The sequence below is a fragment of the Homo sapiens genome, chromosome 12, assembly GCF_000001405.40.
Source record: "Homo sapiens chromosome 12, GRCh38.p14 Primary Assembly".
In the NCBI taxonomy this organism is placed as follows: domain Eukaryota; kingdom Metazoa; phylum Chordata; class Mammalia; order Primates; family Hominidae; genus Homo; species Homo sapiens.
The window spans coordinates 76,857,067-76,883,124 of NC_000012.12; the positions used below are offsets into that span (position 1 = coordinate 76,857,067).

Sequence of the window (26,058 nt, forward strand, 5' to 3'; positions counted from 1 at the left end):
GGTGGGCCTTTATTCAAAGAGAGGGGAATTAGACTATCATTTGATGGGAAGGTCAAAGAATTTGTGGACATGTTCTACCACATACAGAATCAGAAGTTATTCCATAACTTCTCTCCTTCAGCCTCTTTGATTGCCAATTATTTCCTAGACTGCTTAACTACCTCTCCTGCCCCACCATGATGGAACTGGTATGCCTCATAAAACACCTGAAGTTGCTCAAGGCTATGATGTGAAATAAGCACCCAGTACACCCTCCACCAACTTCCTCCCACTTTGTTTCTGCTTATTTATTTTTTTTGATGTCGTACATACCATATCCCCTTTAGCTTTTTCAAAATAAGCAATATATTGGCCAGGCGTGGTAGTGCATGCCTGTAATCCCAGCACTTTGGGAGGCCGAGGTGGTTGAGTCACTTGAGGCCAAGAGTTCAAGACCAGCCTGGACAACATGGTGAAACCCCATCTCTACTAAAAAAAATAAAATAAAAAATTAGCTGGGTGCAGTAGCATGCCTGTAGTTCCTGCTGCTCAGGAGACTGAAGCACAAGAATCGCAGGAACCCAGGAAGTGGAGGTTGCAGTGAGCTGAGATCGCACCATTGCACTCCAACCTGGGCAAGAGAGCGAGACTCACACAGTATAGTATGTTAAAATGAACCTTGGAAAAGATTAAGATATGTTCACGGGCTGGTTCAATTTTACTAATAATACACATTACAGACCTATTACACCCTGCTCCTGGGGGTGAGGGAGTTGGATTGAATCTCTAGTAAAGAACTAAACTTTCTGGGGGAATAATGAAACCATACCTTATAAAGTCTAATGCTCCTCTTCTACCTAAGCCAGCTGAATGTGCCCAGACAATGCAACATTCTTTGCTACTTATACAGAATCAAAATGTGTGAAACACCCCAGTTTCCAGGACTTAGTAGGTCACCATCTATTAGATCACAGTGTAGAGTCTTTAAAAAGAATCATACTAAGTCTCTGATTCTATAATTGCCCATAGGTGTTTGTTTGTACTGAATTTTAGGTATAATCAAAAGAACTTACTTAAGAGTACGGTGGGGAGGGAAAGGAGGAGATGCTGCACTGCTGAACACCAGCTTTGAGGAGCTGAAATAATGATGCCTGTTGCCTAGCAACCTTTTTTTTTTTTTTTTTTTTTTTTTTTTGAGACGGAGTCTCGCTCTGTTGCCCAGGCTGGAGTGCAATGGCACGATCTCGGCTCACTGCAAGCTCCACCTCCCGGGTTCACGCCATTCTCCTGCCTCAGCCTCCCGAGTAGCTGGGACTACAGACGCCCGCCACTACGCCTGGCTAATTTTTTTGTAGTTTTAGTAGAGACGGTGTTTCACCGTGTTAGCCAGGATGGTCTCGATCTCCTGACCTCGTGATCTGCCCATCTCGGCCTCCCAAAGTGCTGGGATTACAGGCGTAAGCTACCGCGCCCGGCCTGCAACCTTTACTCTTAAGGCACACTTGCCTGCTTGAAAGAGAGATCCTTTTCAACAGCTGTAATGCAAACATGAACCTAGTGAGTCAGCTGGGTAATGGGGTAACAAAGGTAGGGAACCAAATGACTTTCCACTAACTGAAATCAGAGCATCTCCTCCAAAAGATTAATTAAAAGACAATGAACACCCAAATCAAGCTGAAGTTTTATTTAAAATGTAAAAGAAATGTTCCCCCAAAATGCTGGTGAATAAAGCAAAAGGATACCATACAGTGCTCTCTTCCTACGAGTTAGCCAGCCTATCCAAGTACAGGGCGATATACAGTACTTAATGCTGGTAGAATTTCACAGTAGTTTAGTGTTAAAGATTATCTGTGCCTAGATTATGAAGAGATTCTCAGTGTGTGATGTTTAGTTCAGGGTTTACATCTTACTGGGCATGAACAAGAGCCCCTGCTCCTTGGCCATAGCCAAATCCCTTGGGCCCAAAGTTCTTTGCATAGCATCCTACAAAGGAAAGGGAGGAAGGATAGTTAGTGCAAGTCCATTAAGCTTTGCTAGCACTGCTTAAGACCCACTCAACAAACCCCCATAAATTAAACTGCTGTGTAAAAGAGCTCAACTTATTTAAGATGTTAAATGTGTCATGTACTAAATATCTTAAAGCTGCAAAGACAAGTCCACACATTCTGGCCCTATAGTGTTCAGCGTGGTCCTGCTGAGTTGCAAGCATGAGTCAGGCCAGGTAAGGTATGTATTTGTCTGTTTTCTTCCATATACTTACGCTTTGCTCAAGACATGAAGGCAAAAGATGGCTATTTGTGGTGTTTTTATCTGGTGGGGAGTTTTAAATGATCAGGAACTTAACTGTGGTTCTCTGTCATCTATAAGCATCTTGGGATATTTTATTTTCAGAAAATAGTGGCATACTTTTCTTTTTTTTTTTTTAATGCCAGTGACATTTCATTAAACAAGAACCAGTGTGGAATATTCATATGGACAGCAGTAACTGAAATGAATTTTACCTTTACAATAGATTTCACCTTCTTTTTCAGTCAGAGTTGTTGATTCAAGACTCTTCCCACACTTTGCACATCGGAAACAGTTTTTGTGCCAGGGCTGGAAGAGATGAATGTGTCAGCATGTTTGAGAGGCCTGTTTCCTACAGTTCAATTTAGATGTATGGCAAGAAGTGGCTCAGGATGATCATCTCAAAGCAAGCTCCTGACTTCTGTGGTTCAGCTCCAATGAGAAGGCTGAAACCAGTCCTCAGTATCTGCACTCTTGATCACCCACAGAAAGGCTGTTTCCCTAAGAGCAGCCTCAGTCCTAACCACAAGCCCAGTCTGCTCCTTTAAAGAGACCATCTTTTTTCTGGCCAAGAACAGCGCAGCTCAAAGAGGTTAGCTGGTAACTTTTCCAAATCCACACACTGAATTCGCATCAGGTGTCCTGACTCGGATTCCTGCTTTTTTCACTATACTGAATAACCTGGAGATTCCCTTACAGTCTGGCCTTTTAAAGTTTAACCTTCAGGAGTGCCCCCTATGAAAACAAGTTCTTTTAAACAGAAAAATGACTTGTCAAATAAGGGAATCACTTCAAAAAAGTTAATGATTCTGATGGAAATGCATTTAAAGAAAAGTTTCATATAAGACAGTGATTTGTAAGACATCACCCAAGCAAGGAATGTGGAAGGGTTAGGGGAGAAAGGGAGCAGAGAGAAGTCATTTGCTGTTATTAATTCCAAATAGCACTTTACCTTTCCAGCTCCAATTATCTTCTCGGCAGCATATACAGAATCCCCACATCTGGAACACTTCTCAGCACCTCCATATTTCTGAGCAAATTTAGAAGTGTTTGGATTTGTTGTAGGCCTGTGAGGCTGAACACTTGTGAAAAGAGGAAAAAAAAAGTAGGCAAGAGTTTCCACAGGGCCCTTTTAAGTACACAAGGCAGGAACAATAGAACTCTGGGACTTAACCGCTACACTGCCTCAAAGCTGGAAGCCTTTGCAGGCCAGCACAGGGGAGGGAATAAAGAAGAAGTGACTCAGGTGCCAGCCAGAGTTACTACTTGAACCTATCTATGGGCTCATTATTATTTCAAAAAACCAGATAGGGACCCAAACGTAAAGATCTGTCCCTCTGAGTCTAAACAGAATTCATTTACTCCTCAGTGTTGGCCTCTCCACTAAGCAATTATGTTACGGTTTATAAAAACTTACCAGAGCATATATTTTTACTCCAGAATAATATCACTGGAATCATACCTAGCTTTTTACTTCACAGGAGTCGGAAAAACCACTATTAAGTAGTTTAAAAATTCCACAAATAGGTAAGTTAACTTTGGTCTGTAACTAAGAAATTTAAGCATGTTTTATAGATTACTTAGTCTCCCAGTATATCTTGAATAAAGGAAAGTGTGAATAGCCAACTTTCTTCATGGAAAAATATTTTATAAATTTTGATTATTACTATGCAATCTGTTTATCTTTCATTTTTCTCTGGTAAGGGTGGTATTTTTGTCACTATTTACAGATCACTGAGTAAACCATATTTCTTGCTATCAGTAGGAACTGTTTCCATTCAGTAAGGTGTACCTAGTATGTGCAGAACATTCTCGGGCTTTGAGAAGACTTTTTTTTTTTTAAGCCCTCTTAGAACCTTATAAATTAGCTGAGCAGATAAAATGATAGCACTCCACAACTGTTAATTTTTCCTACTGGAAAAACAATGTCTTCCTAGCACTTTGGGAGGCCAATGTGGAAGGATAACTTGAACTCAGGAGTTCGAGGCCAGCCTAGGCAACATAGCAAGACCCTGTCTATATATATATATATATATTTTTTTTTTTTTTTAAAAAAAGGAGGGTTCACTGGTCTTTGTGCTTTAAAACTATGGCCATAGTCACTGACTTACTTTTGGGGTCATGGATAAATCTGGTTTGGATTGAGGGAGATGCAGGTTGAGTGAGGGGATATGGATTTTGAAAGGTTTTCAACAAAACCTTTAAAACACAAAAATAGATGTAACAAGATGGAAAAGGAGAGCAGAACAAGTAAAATAAATTTTAACAAAGATAAAAAGGTAAGCTGGGCATCATGGCCCAGAAACTCTGAGGGTGGAAGAAGCTCAAAGAACACAGAGGTGAGCCTCAATGTAGTACATACTGCAGTAGGAAGAGAACAGATTTTGGAACCAAATGGACATTGATTCAAATCCTGGCTCCCTCACTTATTTGTGTGACCCGACTCTTAGTGTCGTCATCTATAAATGGACAAAGTATACCTCAGAGTTACTCTAAGGATTATACAGAATGAAGATAAATGTTCAACAGACAACAGGGACTCAATACATGGTAATTATTATTTTAGCCAAGCCAAGCACCACGTTTCATTCAGGTCATAAGGTTTGGAGTTAGACTAGGTTAAGTTCCAGGCTCTACAATTAACTAACAGTGTGACTTTGGGCAAAGTTTTTACTTAATTTTTCTTGTCTTCATCTGTTCTGAAGAAAGAGAGGAAGCCCTATGTTGTAGGACTGTTGTGAGGATTACACGAGTTAACATATGCTAATGCTGCACGGTGGCTGGCATGGTTTATGGTCTTGTCCAAAGGCCATTTTGTTGGACTATTACACCAATTTTGGACTTCTCAATATAAAATGGATGTGAAAATGTGAAGTTCAAATAGTGGAATCACTGGGTTAAAAGTAGGAGTTAGGAGGAAATTCCAGGTTGGGCACGGTGGCTCATGCCTGTTATTCCATGCACTTTGGGAGGCCGAGATAAGTAGATCACTTGAGGCCAGGAGTTCAGGACCAGCCTGGCCAATATGGTGAGACCCCGCCTCTACCAAAAATACAAAAATTAGCCCGGTGTGGTGGTGCACGCCTGTAATCCCAGCTACTCAGGAGGCTGAGACAAGAGAATCACTTGAACCTGGGAGGCAGAGGTTGCAGTGAGCCGAGATTGTGCCAGTGCACTCCAGCTTGGGTGACAGAGTGAGATTCTGTGACAAAAAAGAAAAAAAAAAGTGTGTGGGGGGAATTCTAAACAAATAAGTTATTTAACCTGAATATGAAATACTAAGTGAACTTTCACAAATTTAGCACCTTGATACGTTGGCAACAAAGCCTTTAAAGTTTAACACTACTCTCTCAAAGAATCAAAAATAAGAAGTAATTTCCATTTTTAAGTAAAAAATTTTAAGTTAGAGAAAAGTGATTTCTTGATGAAAAATGTTTACATAGAAGGAGTGACTTAGGAATTTTCATTGGCTGCTTACATTGCACATGAGAAACACCTCTCATGATTCACACAGCACATTTCTCTACCATTTAATTTCATGACATCCGGTCTCCAAGGTGCTGTGAAATTGAAGTAAATACAAATCACTTGCTTTTGAGAACACGACTCCTTGATACAGCTTGGAATGCTATAAAGCCAGAAGTAGAAATCACTGGAATTATTAATAAGAACTTTGTTAGGTCCAAAACTCAATATTTTGAACTAGTTGACATTAGAAAATCAGAGTCCCATTTTATTTGCTTAGTTTCAACTAAAAATCTGGAGACTGCCAGGTTCCTGTTCAGCAAGCGGCACTAACTGTCGCAACTCATTTCTGAAGGTAACCAACGGTCTCCCAACTCACCTCTCTGGTTTGATGCCCAGCCTCTCGCCACGGTCCATGTTAAGCGTGCCAGCGCCCTGGCCATAACCGTAGCCTTTTGGCCCATACTTCTTTCCGTAGCAGGATTTGCAGTAGATCTCTTCATCGTGAATTGCCACTGTTGTGCTATCTAAATTTTTCCTGCAAACCACTGCAGGGGAAAAAGTTAGACTTTACACATGTTCCAAAGATGCCTTTTTCCTTAGAACAATGGTGGCACAGACACATGGCCTACAAATGGTGAAGGCTGAGGCTCCCTCACATTCCTGGTTTATCCTGTGGCTTCCCAAAAGCCATGAGACAGCATCTGGACTGGCCAGCTACATTCGAGGATTATTTACATTCCTCCATGGATATGACAGTTGCTTCAGAAATGTATCAGAATATAACATCCAGAAGCCTCAAGCTTTATTTTTAGTTTGTTTCGTTTATTTTTTATTCCCTTTCCTGTGGTGCTGATCAAACTCTTACTATGATTTCCCTTTCTGGGAGATCATATTAAGGGAGAAAAGTTTCAAAGGTGGCTATAAAAATGCTTAAACAAAAGGAATAAAACACCACCTTGCTCCCAACCCTCAACACTCTTAATCTTTTCAGCCTTCTCTTAACCAAGTACTGTTAAATCACAACCTAATACAGAACAGAAGGGAAGCTCAGTGCCTTCGGGGACTTGCCTCTGTAGCCTTTCCTCCCCCAAAAGCACCTCCTGGGATAATAATAGTTTTAAATCCTGAATTCTAGTTTTCATCACTAGTCTAGACTGGGAAGTATCACACTTTCCTCTCCCCAGCAGCTTCTCCAGCAGTGATGAGTCTGCCTGAAAATCGTCAAGTGCTTTAAAGTCTGCATTTGTTTTCCCTTCTGTCCCAAAGGAGAATGCATTCTTTCTTGATGGATCTCTTGCCACAGGACATTTCCACGTGTCCCACTTCATAAAACTGCCAAATGTCATCGAGTTTCATCCAGACATTATTTCATTTTCTAAAACTTCAATTAAGCTTGAGAAAAAAGTAAATTGTGAGGAAACTCACTGGTAGCACAATCTGGCAGCTGGAAATCAAAGATCAGAATTTCTTCCCCTTATTTAAAAGACAATTGTATGATGATTCAGAGTAGAATGATGGTTACCAGAAGCTCGGAAGGGTAGGGTGTCGGGAAGGAAGTGAGGAGAGTTAATGGGTGTAAAAATATAGTTAGAATGAATAAGATCTAGTATTTGATAGCACAACAGGATGATTACTGTCAACAATCATTGTACATTTAAAAATAAGACAGTATTAACTGGAATGTTGGTAACAAAAAAATAATAAATGCTTGAGGTAATGGATACCCCATTTAAGATGATGTGATTAACATACATTGTATGCCTGTAGCAAAACATCTCATGTACCCCATAAATATATATACCTACTATGTACCCATAAAAATTAAAAGTAAGAAAAATAAAAGGGGGGGGGTTGAATAAAAAGGAAGGAGGACAAAAGGAAGGACAGCAAAGAGGAGGGGAGGGAAGCAGGACTAGCTGGCTGGTTTAAAATTTAGTCTATTATCTTAAACTAAAGTCTTCTATGGTAGAATGAAATGGCATCTACTCTGGAATCTAACTGTTGAGGCTCAAGTGCTGAAATACATGTGCCTAAAGATAACTATATCTTAAACCATAGTTAACCTAACACCATGCACTGCTGAAGGACAACTACCCTTAACAGAGAGAATAAATGTAAATACTGTTTTGAAAAACCTGTATGAACCAAAACAAGTGTAGGTATATGAAAGTGTTACTATATAACCACCCCTTTCTTCCCCAGTCCTCATGCTGTTCTCTGCAGTAAAATTCTCATAGGTCTGCAAACTACTCTGAATTATTTCCTTAAAAGGCATTAGTCAGCAGAGACAGATATTAGAAAGGATTCGTAGAAATGACCAGTAGAGAACTTGACATTTAGTAAAACAAATGTCAACAGCATACACGCATATGTTACTATGGTGTAGACATTGTGGCTTAACCTAGACAGATGAAACTGAGAGCAATTTCTAAAGTATTTGCATTCTGTTTCCATACTTTCTTGGTTACAAGCCTGCTGAAAAATAGATTCCTTTTTTAAAAAAGTAACTTCTAAAAGCAATGGTTAAACCAAGTCTTCTGAGGAAGGCATACATAGTGAACATTCCTATGTAGTATTTTTATTTTTTTGTAACTGCAACTTTCTGTTGTCTGCTTCTGGTTGTCTGCAAAGCAGTTTAGTTATGCTATTAAAGAGGTCCAGATACCTTGAATGCTGGCTCCAATGAGGGAAAAGGACAATTCAAATTTGAGAAAGAAGTCTTTTCCTGAAGATTATTTCTCAATGTAACCTATTTTTAACCTATGGTTTTCTGTAGGAATTTTCCCTGTACAATACTATTGATAAGGCAAACATCTGCCCGTATGGGTGGGTTTACCTGACATAATCATTCATTAAAGAAAATTCTGTCATTAAATCAGAAGATGATTAATGAAGTGCTTTAAGTTGCTACTCTACAGTTTTAAAACCGAAGACTTTGTTGTCATTAAAGGGAACCTGAGAAAGAGAAAGCTGGGGTGGATGAGGAGCAATCATTTACTCAAAAATGGGAGCTAAGCCCTTGTAATGTGCCAGAAACTGTGCTAGGTGCCAGACCACATAAGTGACACCCAGCACTCAGTGAGGTGGGGGAGGCAGATGTGTTAACAAAATAAAGGCCAAAATGGAGGCCAAAAGCTATGGGGACACAAAGGGAGGCTGGGTGTCTTGGGCCACCCCTCCTGTCTTCGCTGCTAGGCTTGGCATTTACAACATCTAAGAAGACAGGTAAAAACCATTCGTGCTTTCAAAATGATCTTTGTTGGCAAAACCACAATTTTTCCTTAAATAGACATATTGAAGCTCTGTACATACAAATTCCGTCAAAGGTGGAGCATGGAGAGCTACTTACTGCAGAGAAAGCAGCAGCGGTGGAAGCTCCTGCCATCACACTGCACCTCTTCTGCGTGGTACACGGTCCTCCCACAGGCCCCACACTTGTTTCCACCTCCCCAGACAGGCATTCTGAAGGAATAAAGGATTCATTAGAATGTCCCTGTGCTGGTCGTACGGCTCCCTAGAGGGCTATTTAAGCCCAGGGACAGCTGCAGATTTTCGTTTCTTTATGAACCTCTCTAACCACATCTTTCAAAGGCCTGCGTTCCTCCAAAATAACCTCATCTCCTCTCCCAAATAACAACTCTTTCATTAGGAAACTGGCTTGTCGTGCACAAGATTTTTTTTTTTTCCTGCCAGACAAAGGACCTGCATTCAGTACAATAGTACAGGTCACCAGGCACAAAACAAGCTATGCCATTAGAATCCACAGGAGTTAAGAAAGAAGCGTGGGGAGGGGAAAGGCAAGCCTTGTCCCCCTCCCTAATATGCCCATTTTTAATAAACATATTTTTTTGAACTCAGCTGAAGATCTTACCCTTGGGTGGAGGTTTTCATTACATGTTTAATTAATTGTAACAACACTAAATTCTTAACGTTTAACATATATAAGCTATAACACGCTTTCTAGGGAACAAAGTGTGTTGCCCTGCAAGAACAAGTTTTATATTTGTTTGCTGAAATTACACGATTGTAGCATAAATAGCTGTGTCTGTGACTCGTACAACTGCATGCACGGAACTTTTGCCGTAACCACAACAAACGCCCATCCAGATGGCTCCGGCTTAAGTTTCTATGCTTCACTAACCCCAAGGCCCACTAGTGCAGCCAGCAGTTGGGTTTTCCTCTTTGGCAAGTCAGTCAGGCCATACAGAATCTGCTACAAGTTCCCTTCCTACCAGTTGAACTGTTTGCTGAGCATGCAGGAATAGCCTCTGAATAGTATGGCCTGCTGTAAAGGGCAAGCTGGAAGTACAGATCCTAGGGTGTCTCACTGTCATGTAGGGCCAACATTTTCTCGTCTCCCTTCTCAACAAATTAGTCTGCCTCGACCACTTTAAAATGCCTGGTTCTGGCTGGGCATGGTGGCTCACGCCTGTAATCCCAGCACTTTCGGAGGCCGAGGTGGGTGGATCACCTGAGGTCAGGAGTTTGAGACCAGCCTGACCAACATAGCGAAACCCCGTCTCTGCTAAATTTAAAAAAAAAAAAAAAAAAAAAAAAAAGATTAGCCGGGTGTGGTGGCAGATGCCTGCAATCCCAGCTACTTGGGAGGCTGAGGCAGGAGAATTGCTTGAACCAGGAAGCGGAGGTTGCACTGAGCGAAGATTGTACCACTGCACTCCAGCCTGGGCGACAGAGCGAGACTCTGACGAAAAGAAAAAAGCCTGGTTCTGAATGGCCAGCTTCCTCAGATGCCTTAACCAGTACAGAAAGTTGTTCTGCTAAGAAGACATGTTATGTCTGCCCTGCCCTGAGTGGTATCTAAAAACACAAGCGATTGATTCCCCTTTCCCCATCATCTTTTTTGAGCTTCCTTCTGTAGAGTGGCATTTGCAGCCCTTGCCTGTTAGGTCTCCTTAGATAGACTGCTTGCCTCTCTAGGAAATAGGTGGCTAATAAGGCCGAGGCCTCTTACTAACCCAAACCTGGCTAGAAAGAGAAGGGAAACAGAGTGCTACTAAGTAGAAAAGATTAAAGAGTCTCCAATCCTTAAAATCAAAAGGGATGTGGGAAATTCTCATCTTACCCCATTAAGGTGATCCAGAACCTGACAATTTCCTGAACACAAAGATGAGGCCTCTCCAAAAGAAAGATTAATGGAGTTGATCATTGCGGTGGGGAACTTTCCAGCACTCAGTATTCTCTTGCCTCTCTTCTGGTGGTACCTTCCCTAGACTGTCTTCCGGGAAAGCAGCCATCTCTTTCTTAGACCATGTGGTTTAGAGAAGTGCTTATTAAAATGTGGTCTCCTGGTGATGGATGGGCCACTATTCTTGTTACCAATTTGAGACAAACTTCAGGTAAGCATTTAGAAACTTTTATGCCACAAAAACTAAGAGAAGATCAGTGAACTCATCCTGTTGAACAGAGTCATCAGTCTGTACTTGGAAATTAAAAATAACAGTCCTTTACTGATATGGTTTGGCTGTGTCCCCACCGAAATCTCATCTTGAATTGTAGCTCCCATAATTCCCATGTGTTGTGGGACGGACAGGGTGGGAGGTAACTGAATCCTGGGGCGAGTCTTTCGCGTGCTGGTCTCATGATAGTGAATAAGTCTCACAAGATCTGATGGTTTTATAAAGGGGAGTTCCCCTGCACAAGCTCTCTTGCCTGCTGCCATGTGAGATGTGACTTTGCTTCTCATTCACCTTCTGCCATAATTGTGAGGTCTCCCCAATCATGTGGAACTGTGAGTCAATTAAACCTCTTTCCTTTATAAATTACCCAGTCTCAGGTATGTCTTTATTAGCAGCGTGACAACAGACTAATACATTTACCATAGATGATTTGAAAAGCACTGGTTTGGCCAGGTGCGGTGGCTCAAGCCTGTGATCCCAGCACTTTGGGAGGCCGAGGCAGGCGGATCATGAGGTCAGGAGATTGAGACCACGGTGAAACCCCGTCTCTACTAAAAATACAAAAAATTAGCCGGGCACGGTGGTGGGGGCCTGTAGTCCCAGCTACTCAGGAGGCTGAGGCAGGAGAATAGCGTGAACCCGGGAGGCGGAGCTTGCAGTGAGCCGAGATTGTGCCACTGCACGCCAGCCTGGGCGACAGAGCGAGACTCCGCCTCAAAAGAAAAAAAAAAAAAAAAAAGAAAAGCACTGGTTTTAGATGGTACTGACTCTACCCCTATCTTAGTCTGTTTCGTGTTGCTATAACAGTATACCAGAGACTAGGTAATTTATAAAGAACAGACTGAGAATATAAATATTTGAAGGCTGGGAAGTCCAAGATCAAGGTATGGCAGGTTTAGTGTCTGCTAAGGGCCCCATCTCTGCTGCAAAATGGTGCCTCCAATGCAGCATCCTCTGGAGGCCAGGAACACTGTACCTTACATGGCAGAAGAGCAGAGGAGGGTGAACCCGCTCCCACCAGGCCTTTTTATGGTGGTACTAATCCATTCAAGAGAGTGGATCCCTCATGACCTAAACATCTCCCATTAGGCCCAACTCCCAACGTTGTTGCATTGGGAATTAAGTTTTAACATGATTCTCAGAGGGGACAAAAACACTCAAACCATAGCAACCCCCAACTCCAAGGCTGGGCATGTGACTCAGTCACGGCCAATCAACTGTGCCTTATCTTATCCTGCATGCCTCAGTTATGAGCCAATAAATTCCCTTCTTAAGTCATTTGGAATTGGAGCTCCTGTTCCTTAAAACAAACAACACACACACACACACACACACACACACACACACACACACACACACACACCCCTGACTGGTATGGCTTGTTATCACTAAAATGTAAGTCTGAATTTGCAAAAAGCCAACTTCTCTTAACCAGACAGGAACAAAGTCATTCCAAGGGTCCACAAATGTTACCAGGCTTACCGTGAAGGCATCCATATAGGATCAGTATCTTGCGACAATAGGACATGTTTACAAGCTTTCCTTTTGTAGCTGCATAAATCTTTTATTCTCCTCCCTGGAGACAGGCACTCCATTGTTGAAATCCAGAGTGAAACATAAGCCTGGCGGTAAAACCTAAGACATAAAGCCTTGGCTCCAACAGCCTGCACTGACCCGTGTTTGTAGTACAGTTAGAGAAACTGACCTTGCCCCTTGCCTCCAAAGCTACCTGTATTCTGAATGCTCATGGATGCAACAGACATCTGCTGGAAGTTCCCTCATGATTCCTGCAGAACCAAAGGCCAAATCCAGGCCTCCAGGTAATGACACTACAATTACTTATATTGGATCCCAAGTTATCAACTGGTTCTTAAAATACTTTGTTGTTGTCGAGGCATTTCTATCATTGAAACATTTCTCATATTAGAAAGTGAACTGTTAATACCAACTTGGTATTTTTCATTTTCACACATATTTACTTTGGAGCAATCACCAGTAAGGAGCCAGATTGCTATCACGACTGAGGCTAGACTAGGCTGTCTTTGAATAACACTTAAAAATACATTAAAAGGAAAACCCAACTAATAACCTTGTTATTCTCTTCCATACCATTGAAGAACAGCCTGGATTTTTAAGAAAGAAGGAATATCTTCCCTTTCTTTATGTAATTCAGGGTTTCTTTAAACTTACTTATTCTAAGTTAACTGCACCAGCCAAACGTAAATGTGTCAGCTTTTCAGGAAATACCTATCAAAGTTCCACAACATTCAACTTACTGTGCAATAAGTTTCTGGTCCCTTGATGGTGGGGACCACATCTCTGTATTCTCCACACCATCTATCAGAGTATTTGCATATATCAAAATATTGCAGTTCTATCCAGCTTAAGGGCTTTCCTAAGGATTTCTGAATAACCTTTTCTGTGATAGAGGGAAATGATGTAACAAAAGAACATTGTCAGAAAGCTTCAGTTGGATTTACATTTTTTTTTTTTTAAGATGGTTAGGGAGCCAGGTGTGGTAGCTCATGCCTGTAATCCCAACACTTTGGAATTTGGAATTTAGGGAGACGCTATATTACCTATATTTAAAACAAATTTAAAAAGAAATTAGCCAGGCATGGTGGCACACACCTCTGGTCCCAGCTACTTGGGAGGCTGAAGTGGGAGGATTGCTTGTGCTGGGAATGTCAAGGCTACAGTGAGCTATGATTGCACCACTGCACTCCAGCCTGGGCAACAGAGCAAGATGACCCTGTCTCAAAAAAAAAAAAAAAAAAAAAAAAAGTGGATGGTGATAGTTGAATATTCCTTATATTGTTCTCTACTTTGTATGTCTGAACTATTTCATAATGGAAGGAGGGAGAGGAAGTTGATTGACTGGTTTAAACACACCTGGATTAACTCCACCGTTATAATAGCTGCGCAACCTTGGGCTTCATTTTCTCAAGCTAAAAATGGGGATAGGTAGCTCTCTCTACCCACAGAAATATTGTGAAGGCAAGATAAGGTAAGCAAATGCCTTGGCAGGAATCCAGTAGCTGTCAGCTTGAAGACAGAGGGGACATCTCACTCTATCCAGCCTGCTATCAGTACTCTAGTAGGAAAACCCACCAACCAGCACCTAGAACATAGCTGCAGAGCAACAAACAAGGTAAGGACAAAACTGAGCTGATTGGTCACTATAAACCTTCTTTTTTGGGGACATTAAAATGCACTCCAAAGTAAAGCAACAGTTCCACATATGGTGGTGACTGTCTAAGAAACAAAGTTCAAGCCGGATGCGGTGGCTCACGCCTGTAATCCCAGCACTTTGGGAGGCCAAGGCGGGCAGATCACGAGGTCAGGAGATCAAGACCATCCTGGCTAACACGGTGAAACCCCGTCTCTACTAAAAATACTTAGCCGGGCGCGGTGGCAGGTGCCTGTAGTCCCAGCTACTCGGGAGGCTGAGGCAGGAGAATGGCGTGAACCCAGGAGGTGGAGCTTGCAGTGAGCCGAGATAGTGCCACTGCAGTCCCGCCTGGGTGAAACTGCAAGACTCCGACTCAAAAAAAAAAAAAAAAGAAAAGAAACGAAGTTCAAATTTGCACTTTTAGGCTGAACCTCTAATGGACATTTCCTGAATTTGGCTGGAAGAAGTATGATGATCTTCCATTTCTGTCACTCTTGGCATTGCTGTGCATAAAAAAAAAAAAAAGCAAGTCTTCATTTTTCTTACAAGCCTTTGGCCGTACTACTCCACTACAGCTGCCATTAATCACAGCAAACTGGATTTGCACTAAGCAATCTGGGCTGCATGCCTTTCCCAAATCCTAGGCATTAATTTACAGAATGGTAAAAGCAAAAATAAAATCCCACTTTACATGTGATAAAATAGGGCAAATTCTGTTTCTCAGTCTTGTTCCTTGTTTTTCAGTGTCTGAAAGAGTTCCAGCACTAGGATTTATCCACTGTATTACATGTTACAACGTGATTTATATCTGAACACCTATGTGCAATTTCTCCTTGCTACCTCTTCTTAGCCTAAGATGCCACCAAAATTCATAAGACTCACCCATGCGGAAAAACTGATATAGTCTAAGTCTGAGTCGTCTTATGGTACAGTTAGCTCACTCTCTAGATAACTGTGGTAGGAGTTATTACGAAATTATTTTAGGCAGATAGAGAGGAAAAGGGGTCCTTGGGAAGTTTTCATTTTTTAAAGCATCTCTGGAAAAGTTTCTTGTAAAGCCCTGGCTCTTAGAGCCAGGCCAGCAACCTTTGATATGCAAATGCAGGCCATGTGGGCCATGCAAATGCCCCACCTGTGCCTGGTGACAGGGCAGCCTCCACATATCCCCACGTGTGTGGAACATCATGGCGCCCTGCATTTGCATACTAAAAAGCTAGGGTGTGAGGGCCAGCTTTTTCTTGGGCTACGTGAATGACATGCCTGGTCAAACCAATCCCCTAAGCCCTATGTAAATCAGACATCGCCTCCTCCAGTCTTTGCATATATACCAGGCTGGTATCCATTGCAGGTGGGGACCTCCTCTTTGGGCTTTGGAGCCCCCCTCCCTGTGTCTCTGTACCGGGGAGCTTCTTCCTTCTGTCTTCTCCCTTCCTTCTTGCTCATTAAACTCTCCGCTCCTTAAAACCACTCCACGTGTGTCCGTGTTGTTTTATCTAAACCGGCGGCAGGATCAAGAACCCTTGTGTTCCTGCACTCATCAGAGCCGTATGATAATCAAGAGCTGACTACCTGGGCCATTCTCATACCATTAGTGCCGCATTTACTGTCTTACTTTAGAATCAGAATGACTTGAATCTATGAAATTCAAATCTATATGTTACCATTTAAAGTTTAAGTTATCTGCCCTGAAACTAAAAGTTTGGATTGAATTAGTCTATATTCTATATTTGCCCAGATTCTAAATGCCTCCAGAAGCTTTGACATTTTATTACTACATGTAGGGCCTTGTTATTACACTAGAACCTGACTATAATCCAATTTCCCCTAAAGGAGAATTTATTATAAAATACAGTCTCATCTTGAGCCACATCCAGGGGGAGTCACTTGTTAAAGAATGTAAGTTAGTAGCACTGTCCCGTTACGATGACTTTTTAGCAAGACCAGGATTTGACAGCTGTAGTTAATTGGAAATTAAGCTTTCAGTTGATGCCTGTTCTACAAATTTTTTCTTCTGTTACCCCAACTACCCACTTAGTCTACTTCTCTTACGGAAGTGAATACCACTGAACCAAGGATGAACTCTTCATGTCTTAGTGATCAGCTCCGTACTCCATTTGGCTCCTCCTACTGAAGCCAAATCCTCAACCTGGCCTTTAAGTCAGTTCAGCATAAGGGCAAAGTAAGAACACGCGTTTGGAGTCCACGAAGTGTCATTTCTCTCATCCGTAAACTTAGGGCAACAGTACCTTTTTTAGAGAGTTAAGAACAGTACCATCTTTATAGAGTTATAGATGAGGTAACGCTTGCATAGTGGGGACTCAAATGATAGTATCAATATTTAGCAATGTTCTAACCTTTGTTATCAATACTCATCTTGCCCTACCATCTCACATATCTATTCCTTCCTTATCCCCCAAACCCTCCCCATCAAGGCAACTGCCTTACCTCCGTTCCATCCAGCTAACTTCATTTCTGTATCTCAAGTAATTTTTCTAGGGTAGAGGCAGCTTATAAGCACTGCATAATGCTTTACTGTTTATGAAGCTCTCATATAAATGTATTAATTCAACAGTATTTCATAAGCCAGGTACTGGGTTAGGGGGCTGAGGATAAATGGGTCATAAGGAAAGGCCCGTTTTGCACAGAGTTCTACTGAGGTGGTAAAAACATGTGGACAAACAATAGCAATATAATAAATGACACAGAGGCATGCAAAAAGGGCTTTTGAAGGTCTGCACCATTTACTTTCACAGGCATGACAAAACAGTTTCATCTTGCAGATCCACTGAGAGTGGATTCCTGGAACTACGTTGAGAAAGATTCTGAAATTCAGTCCAGGTTCTACAATCAAGAGAACTGTGATTAATTATTTTTGCCATGGAAATACCGCAGTACACATGCCACCTTTTAGACATGCCAGATATAAAAGAAACAGTGCGGAGCTTAGAATCAGATAGACACAAGCTGGTTGTCAAAGCTAGTTATCAGCTATGTGATCCTGGCCAAATTTCCTTAACCTCTGAGCCTTAACTTCCTCAGAGGTAACTTGGAAATGGATGAGAACTATCTTATAGGCGGTTGTAAAGATTTAATGAGATAAAGTTTGTAAAGTACCTGGCAAAGAGCCTGTACTCCACAAATGGGCGGGCTTCCTTTTCCTTTAGGAGCACTCGGGGCCTGAATATACCAAGTTCAGTCCGTTAGGTCAAGGGTTCCAACCCCCAGGCCACAGACCGATGGCTGTGTTTTGTGTTCAGGCTACTTGCTACTGGTCTGTGGCCTGCTAGGAACCAGGCTGCACAGCAGGAGGTGAGTGGAGGGTAAGCGAGCATTACCACCTGAGCTCTGCTTCCTGTCAGATCGGCAGAGGCATTAGATTCTCATAGGAGCGGGAACGCTATTGTGAATTGTGTAGGTGAGGGATCTAGGTGCCCACTCGTTACGAGAATCTAATGCCTGGTGATCTGAGATGGAACAGTTTCATCCCAAAATTTCATGCCAAAACCATCCACCCACCATCCATGAAAAAACTGTCTTCCACAAAACTGGTCCCTGGTGCCAAAAAGGATGGGGACTGATGAGTTGGGTGACTTGCTGAGGTCACAGATCTCCAAAGAAACAAATCAGGCTCATGTTTTGATTCCAGAACCACAAGCTTTCCTCAAAACTCCCATATCTGACAGGCACAGAACATTAAGGGTTGAGACTATTCAAATGACCTGAGAATTCTCAATCCTTGAGTTACCAAATTACACACACAAATTACACACCTTCCTCTCCATCCAACTAGCGGTCAGTAAGTGGTCTCTGTGCACCACTCTCACACCCAAACTGCTACTTTCAACCAAAAAGCTTTTTATTACCCCTCTCTGCTAACCTAAATCTAACCCCACTGAAGGAAAACTCTCTTCTAATCTAGTGAACACTCCTGTGTGTACCTCAGCCTCACCATTCTTACTACTTCTGTATTCTGCTACCACTCGTGTCTTCAACTTAGAGTGCAGCAAAATTCGACACAGATTTGAATCACTATCTGCCAAATCCCATATTGTAATTAAAATGCAACTATGCTATAAGCTCAGTAACCCTGATCCCCAACATCTGCCATAGCAATCCACAATCTGTGCAAAACTACAAGTTATTTAATTATTCAAACAATTTAATATTTGCACGATTTTTTCATGGAATCAGACCTAGATATATATGCTGAGACTCTTGTTTATTTGCCAAATGATCACAGGTTGTTCATTTGATCTGCTAGTTTTCTCATTTTAAAAATGGGGACAATGCTTATTTATACAATAAGGCAGTTTTTAGATTAAACAATATATGCAAAACACCTAGAATAGTGTCTGCCACATGACAGGTAATAATTACAAATACTTCTATAAAGCTTAATATATGCTTTACTTATGTTTATATTACCTCATTTAATCCTCATAACAACTAAAGTAAGCACTACCACTATTCTCATTTTATGAGTGGGGAAACTGAGGCATAGAGCTATTAAATGACTCATAACTGTGAAACCAAAATAAAATTATCAATTCAACTTAAAAATGAATACCAATAAAATTCCAATTCAAAATTATTTCACTGATGTTTTGCTAAACTAAACCCCTGGTAGCAATACAGATGTAGTACCGACCTCCATGGCTATGGCATAGGTTCTTCTTAAGCTGAGTAGTTCCTGCACTGCCGTGTGCTGGATGAGGATTCAATTCTCTCTGCTTATTTTCTTTTGGAAGTACTGTGAAACCACCATGAAGCCCTCTTTCCTATAGTGAACTGGGAAGTAATTTGGCCCTAATGTATTACATGGTGTCTGTTCTTATTAGTCGAAGACAATAGTATTGTTGGCACAATAAGATTGTAAACAAAAAAACAAGGAACCTGATATCCTTTCCAGATCATTCACCATGTACTTCTATTAGTTCTTCCTCTGTGACTTACAACAATAAAATTTTTAACAATCAGAAATTGTGCCTGTGGTAAAAAGGAATTTGAAAAGGAAAAAATATAAAAAAAAGAAATTGTGCCCAGCTTCTCCACTATCCAGACTGAGAAATATTCCCTTAATTCAGGATTCTTAACCCAAAGGCCACAATTCCTTTTAATTCTGGGGGTTGGGGAACTTGGTACCACATACTTTATGTTACGTCATTTTGAGAAGGGGTCTGGAGGCCTCACAGGAGTGCCATGATATAAAAAGTCAGAAACCCCACCTAGGTAATCAAAGATCCAGAGGTGTCTGGGGATCCCCACCCAACAGAACCCAAGGGATGGCATGCTGGCAGTCAGGGTAAGGTGCCTTGAGGAAACCTGTGAACATCTGCACAGAGAAGAAAGCTGGCCTCCAGGCAAGGTCTAGGAAACGCTCTTCAGGTGTGAGCCAGCTCTCTCCTGAAACAGACTTTCACTGATAGCCTTTTCCCACATATATTCAACCAAGTGCACAACTTTGTCTAATTACAAGGAACTACTCCCAGGCTGGGCTGGGCTTTGTACAAGTATCAACAGGCCTTATGACAACCCTGCAAGGCATGTGCCACTACACCCATTTTACATGATGAAGTATTGAGGCCAAAGAGTAAAGTTAATTTGCCCAAGGGCATCAAACCAATGGGTACTGGAGTTGAGGTGTGAATTTGGTCCTGCCTGGCTTCGTTCCTCCCCCTTTCAGCCATGCCTCCTCTCCCATAGGGGGCTCCCTTTTGGGGTTCATTTGATTCACCTCACTTTTGACAAAGAAGAAAACCTAGAGACCCAGATCACTATAGCAATTTAGTGTCAGAGTTGCCTCTGGACTCAGGCTTCTAAAACTCCTCATTTATTGCTGTCCTCTACTCTACACCAACATTCTTGCTGTTTTAGGATAAAATTCAATCTCCCCCAAATCCAAGTGATTTTGCAATTTCATCAGGACAGGCCTCCAGCAAGTACTGCTTTCAGCACAGTACTTAGCCTATACCAGTATCAATCAATATTTGTTAAATACATTCGGAGAAATGCATTAAAAATTTATGATACGAACTTTAGATCAAATCTGCAAACAAATACCTATTGTGTGAGTCAAATTATATTTTTGTTCCCTATAATCACAACCTTATTCGCTCCTTCTTTCAGTCAATTGTCCAAGGTACCCAAGCAAGCACTGTGAGTTTCAAAGACTCATGTGATGCAGGTCTGGTCTCAAAGGTAACACAGAACCAAAAGAGCAAAGAAAACTACAATGCAGAGGAGAAAGGACCCAGAGAAATACTGACAAAGTATCAGTGACAATGGACGAGAGCGATGACCCCAGGAGTACTGGGGGAGACCACTTAGTACTTCACAACATTCTTTGTAGCTTGGCATGCAGTTCTGAAACTATGTTAGATTCTCCCTTTCAAAATCTATCACCCAATTCTTTCTTGAAAAACGTGAGTCAAAGTACAGCCAACTTTGTGGCTGTCCTATTTGAATTCTTGGCATTTTATGAGGAGAGTTTTAAAACAGGTTAATTGGAAAAGTCAAGAACTAAATACGACGATTTTCGCTGCCCGGGTTAAAAAATTACTAACTGCCCCCGCCCCACCCCCCCACCCCCCAAAAAAAATTCTGTACCGAAAAGCATTTATAAAGGGAAAATGTGCTTGGTTTGCAGACTGCAAATAAAACAGGTTAAACATTTTGGGTAGCCATTTAAGTAAAAATCGTTTAACAAATGTCCTGGCTTAGAAGGGGGAAAGGGATCCGCCGGTTTAGAAAGCCCGCCCCCGCCCCCAGGGGGTGCCTACGTGGAGCTCCTGAATCTGGCTCTGGAGAACCCAGAATGTGATTCGCAGGACCTGTCGCATAATTTCACAACCAAGCATTCTTGCATTCTTCTTTGTACCTGAATCGTAGAAAGTTCTGGAAAAAGCTAGGAGTAAGTGATTGACATTCCCTGCTGTTCCTTCAACATAGAGGGGTTCGGTGCTGGGTGGGCAGACACCACCAAACAATGGGGATGCCAGGAGCCCGGTACGGCGGCAGGAGCAGTACCCTGGGCTCGGGGGGATGTAGAAGCCCCATTCCACCCCTAGGGGACAGAACCCAGTAAGGTCGCCCTCGGTGCTCACCACACTCCGGGCAGAGGGGGCCCTGAGACTCCGACCCCCACCCCAGAGAGAGCCTGCCGCTGGACGAGGGGACCGACGGCTGCTAAGAGGCGGATTAGCAGAAACGCGAAACTCACAACCCGCCTCTCTCCCAGAGAAACCAGTATGGAGAAATTAAAGGTCATATAAGATTATTTACCTGCCCCGCGGGCCTGGGATCCCAGGGCATGGCCTGGACGGCCTCGGGGACAAGGGCAGGTGTGTTTGGGGGATAAGAGAGAGAAAATCTGGGGCGCAGGGATGAGAAGGCTGGCAGGGGCACAAATGCGGACCGGGATGGGGATGTCGGAGGAGACCGGGGCGCGCCGGCCGGGCGACAGCACGACCCCGGGAGGCGGTGGAAACCCCCTGCAACTCCCGCCCCGGGGTTGGCGGCGCCGCGGAACCGCCCCACCGCCCCTACTCACTTGAGTCGGAGGCGGGAGCACGTACCGCAGGCGGAGCTAGCGAGGCTGGGCTGGAGGGAGGGTCCAGGGAGTCCGAGATCCCAGGCGAAGCGCGCGCCGGTGCCTTTTAAAGAGCGCTCGGTGGGCGCGGCCTGTGTCCGCCCCGCCCTCCTCCCAGCCCCGCCCGCCGGATTCCCGGAGCCGCTTGCCGGGCTGGGGCGTGTAGCGGGCGGGCTGCCCTCTGCCCGCTCCGGGCTAGCCACCAGGAGACAAAAGGCAGGAGGCCCGCCTCTTCCTGCAGCTTCCCGCCCGCCCGGCATCTTCCCACGTCCCGGGACCGCTCCCTCCCAAAGGGACCCGGCAGTTCCAAAAGCCACTGGGACTTGGAGAGGGACTTCCTTCCCCTCCAGGGAGGCCCGGCGGCGGGACGGTCCCGCTGGAAAGTGGCCCCCGCCGCCCTGCGTCGGACCTGTCCACCGCGAGCGCCGATCCCCCTCTTCGCGGAGACAGTCATGGGCCGGGAGGCTCCAGCAGTAGAAAGTCAGCCAAACGGGGCTTTCCGCCACCTCCCCCTTGCCTTGTCCTTGTCAGTAAACTCAACGTGATTAACTTCCCTAGTTAACGCATATTCTCTCGTCCGATTTCCAGCTTCTGGGAATCCACAACTTCTTATTCTTAAAGAGCAAAATTCATCTAGACTAAATAAATGACGTTACGAAAACGCCCCATTCCCAAAGTGTTTCGCTCTTCCCCTCCACCAGGGCACAGCACGCGATGCTGAGGGGGAAGAAACCTAAACCCAGGCAGAAACCCCGGGCGCCACAGGCCCTGTATTTATATGTGTTGATGTCAGAAAAGCACAAGGATACCGTGACATCCGAAGGGACCTAATGCCTAAGCTACAGGATGATTTATTGTTTTAGATGAAAAGGAAAATAAACAATGCAATCTCTATCTGGTTCATATTCTAGGCCTCCTCATGACCTCTCCTGCCAGAAGCAATGATCCCGGAGAACTGATACTTGCGGAGTGGGGAGTTCAAAAAAGTCAGTGACCAAAACCCCCTCATGCCATAAATGCTATTGCCTCCTCTGGTCCAGAGTTTCTCATCCTCCACACCATTGACATCTTGGGCTGGATAATTCTTTATTGTAGGGGGCTGTCCTGTGCATTGTAGGAGGCCTCCACCCACTAGATGCCAGTTGCAACCTGCCCCCGACGTTGTGACAATCAAAAAGTCTCTGGACATTGCCAAATGCCCTCTTGGGGAGAGGGCAGGGAGCACATATCCGCATGACAACGTACAGAACCGACTTATAATATTATTATTGTTTTATTTTATATGCTGGGGCCAATCCAGGATAAACTCATTATAGCTGCCTTGTTCTCTGTCCACCAAGTACTGTCCAAAAACACATAGTGGTGATTGACATCTCCTGATACTGTGGCAGGAGTCTGGAAAGCATTCTTGCCTGCTGTGAGCTTTTCTAAATATGGGCAATCCTTATTTCAGTGATATCAGCTAGTGTAAGTGACTTGACTCACGGGCCAACAGGAAAATTCAGTCCCTCAGATTCTACATTCGCTTTAGCTCAGCTGCTTACAATGTTTATTTTTTCTTGTATAAGTTTGCCTAGTGCTTCTACTGAATGAAACTGTATCAGTGAGTCTCACTGCAGCAAACCACTGCCCTTTCTCTCCTACCCTGAGTTCTTCTCAATGCCTCTTTGTGGAAGGGGCCTCCCAAACCTGAGCTGTTTGCTTTCCGTCAAGCTCATGTTGTCCCTAAATTCCATAGCCATGTCTTATCATTTGAAATTGGGCTTGTTGGCCGGGCGTGGTGGCACATGTCTGTAATCCCAGCTACTTGGAGGCTGAGGCAGGAGAATCACTTGAACCTGAGAGGTGGAGGTTGCAGTGAGTGGAGATCACGTCAATGCACTCCAGCCTGAGTGACAGAGGGAGACTCCGTCTCAAAAAAACAAAACAAAACAAAAAAGAAATTGGGCTTGTTTCTGACCTAAAAGTGTTTCTGCTGTCTGTCCCTGTATGTGTTTGTCTCCGTGTACTTCACACTGAGTCTGCAGATGATATACAACGTGTGATTTTGAACAAATCTGTATTTGTATTTATCAACATTTAAAAAATATTTATTTTCTTTAAACATCTATTTAAACTGTTGACTCTTTTAGTTATGAACATGAAGAAATTATTTAAGAGTTTTTAGACAGAGTGGTGCAAAAGAAAGAGTATGGGCTTTGGAATCAAACACACATGATTTCAACATACAGCTCTGCCACCTATCAGTTTTGTAAGCTTGGGCTAAGTACTTGACCTCTATGCATCTGTTTCTTTATCTGTAAAAAGATAATTCTACACATCTTGTAGTGTTGTTATGAGGATTAAATTGGGTGATGTATGTAAAATGCCAAACATAGCACCTGGCACATGGTAAATACTGAATAATTGATGGTTGTTATGTTAAGCAAAGATATCTTGATGTCCTTTTTGCCTCTCAAGAAAGAAATAAAATTGTGCTTTGCTAAGTACTCATGTTGCCTTCTTGAGGGCTTGCTATTAAGAAGGTATGGAGTGTTTTCCAAAACAATTAAGAGTCTTCAGTAGGAAGCATCTGCGCGCCTGCAGAAGGATAGTGGGAAAAATGTGTCCTCAAGGAGAAGGATAAACCCTTAAGTCCACATGGTCCTAGTCTGTTTGACCCCTTCAACCTTGTAATAGGCAGAATCAAAGGTTAAATGTGTCCAGCAGGCTATTTCTTTTTCCCACTCAAAATGTGTATTATACTTGTAACAACTCTATTCTCTGGAATTCATCAACCAATTTCAAATCAAAGCCCTCTCTCAAGGTCACTGTCCTAAGGCAAGTTGAACCAAGGTTGTTGCCTTTTGTCATGACCTTGTGCTTCAAACGTAGATTTTAAAAATATTTTTATTATTTTTATTTCATGCCCCTTTTTCTTAACAAAACTCTGAATCAGATGAATGTGAATTTAAACACAAAGCCTCTTTATTTTAGGGCAAGGCTTTCTTCCCAGAAGGCAAGAAAGCTATAGTGAAGAGGAATGTCTTATTATAATGATTTTAGTATGAAAAAAAGGGAAACAATTTGCACTTTGCTAACCTACACATTTAATAACACAAAAAGAAGCAGTTTTTCTACCTTATTTCTTAGCTAAGATTTAGCAGCAGTTGTGGGAATTAAAAATTACTCATACTTAACCCTAATACTCTGTGATTTATTATCTGACAGAGAAAAGAATAATGTAAGTGATATATGCTTAAATGTTGGAAGGTAGATTAGAGTATCTTATTCTTGATATTTGTCATAGTTGCTTTTTTTAACCTGCTATAAACTCCTACTTTCTTATACTTGCTTCATTTCCTAACTCTCTTTCTCCAGTAGGCATTATTTTCATTCAGTGCTATTATCTTCTATTATGATGTTATTTATTTCTTCTTTTCAACCAGAGCTTTCTATCTTTTTGAGCTCTGCTTCTGCTTTCATATTATAGCAGAGTTTTTCTAGTTCTACTAGTAAGAAAGACACCATTAACTTCCCAGACAGCATATTCTATCCATCTTATCTTAACCCCTTAATTCCTTTATCTCACTTTTCTCCCTCTTTTTCAGCTGGTGACATCACCTTCTTCTCCTTCATTCACATTCACAGCCAGTCACCAACATTTCCTCAACCTTCCTCCACTTTGCCTCGAAGCTTCCATGTTTTCTCCTATGTTTGTACTTGCTGTCCCTGATCTTGGAGGAGCAAATGGTTCTCCCACTCCCTACCAACAGTGTCCACTCTGCCTAGGCTTTTGATCCATTTCTTTGGCATTTTTTAGTTATACAGTCATGTGCCACTTAGTGATGGGAACAGGTTCTAAGGAATGCATCATGAGACAATTTTACCATTATGCCAACATTGTAGAGTATACTTACACAAACCTACACCATATGGCCTAAGGTATAGCCTATTGCTCATGGGCTACAAACCTGTACAGCATGTGACTGTACAGAACACCACAGGCAATGGCAACACAATAGTATTTGTGTATCTAAACATATCTAAATATAGAAAAGGTACAGCAAAAACACAGTATTGTAGTGTTACAGGACCACCCTCATATTTGTGATCTGTTGTTGATTGAAAATCTTCATGTGGCACGTGATTGTACTCCCTTGCTGTTC

The 26,058-nt window shown here is 42.7% G+C and overlaps 1 protein-coding gene and 1 long non-coding RNA gene across 12 annotated transcripts, besides 4 other annotated features; one reads left to right on the plus strand and one right to left on the minus strand.

Moving 5' to 3' along the window:
• Positions 1–1,642: 1,642 nt before the first annotated feature.
• CSRP2 (cysteine and glycine rich protein 2) lies at positions 1,643–21,953 on the minus strand. Of its 11 annotated transcripts, none has more exons than NM_001413541.1 (7): positions 21,872–21,953; positions 9,083–9,195; positions 6,110–6,278; positions 5,744–5,825; positions 3,218–3,347; positions 2,481–2,574; positions 1,643–1,962 (listed from the first exon to the last, which is right to left on the minus strand). In NM_001413541.1, the coding sequence occupies exons 3-7, from the start codon at positions 6,231–6,233 to the stop codon at positions 1,886–1,888; spliced, it is 507 nt and encodes a 168-aa protein (NP_001400470.1). In that variant the 5' UTR covers positions 6,234–6,278; positions 9,083–9,195; positions 21,872–21,953; the 3' UTR covers positions 1,643–1,885. The 11 variants fall into 11 exon arrangements, 10 of the variants coding, with proteins under 10 accessions (NP_001400470.1, NP_001400468.1, NP_001400467.1 ...); NM_001413539.1 differs by having other exon boundaries at positions 5,744–5,893; NM_001413538.1 differs by lacking the exon at positions 5,744–5,825 and adding an exon at positions 12,633–12,785.
• Positions 8,081–8,190: a silencer, noted in NCBI's record as "silent region_4673". NCBI's record gives its function as "represses an Ori minimal core promoter by ATAC-STARR-seq in GM12878 lymphoblastoid cells {active_cell/tissue: GM12878}" and the evidence as "EXISTENCE:reporter gene assay evidence [ECO:0000049][PMID:35858748]".
• Positions 17,377–17,878: an enhancer, noted in NCBI's record as "NANOG hESC enhancer chr12:77268223-77268724 (GRCh37/hg19 assembly coordinates)". NCBI's record gives its function as "activates a minimal SCP1, AML or CMV promoter by ChIP-STARR-seq in naive H9 embryonic stem cells {active_cell/tissue: H9 hESC(naive)}" and the evidence as "EXISTENCE:reporter gene assay evidence [ECO:0000049][PMID:30033119]".
• Positions 21,293–24,399, plus strand: LOC124902971 (uncharacterized). The gene is made up of 2 exons (XR_007063380.1): positions 21,293–21,584; positions 22,822–24,399. It is a non-coding gene; the product is annotated as an uncharacterized LOC124902971 (long non-coding RNA).
• Positions 21,713–22,142: a silencer, noted in NCBI's record as "silent region_4674". NCBI's record gives its function as "represses an Ori minimal core promoter by ATAC-STARR-seq in GM12878 lymphoblastoid cells {active_cell/tissue: GM12878}" and the evidence as "EXISTENCE:reporter gene assay evidence [ECO:0000049][PMID:35858748]".
• Positions 22,173–22,222: a silencer, noted in NCBI's record as "silent region_4675". NCBI's record gives its function as "represses an Ori minimal core promoter by ATAC-STARR-seq in GM12878 lymphoblastoid cells {active_cell/tissue: GM12878}" and the evidence as "EXISTENCE:reporter gene assay evidence [ECO:0000049][PMID:35858748]".
• Positions 24,400–26,058: the final 1,659 nt, after the last annotated feature.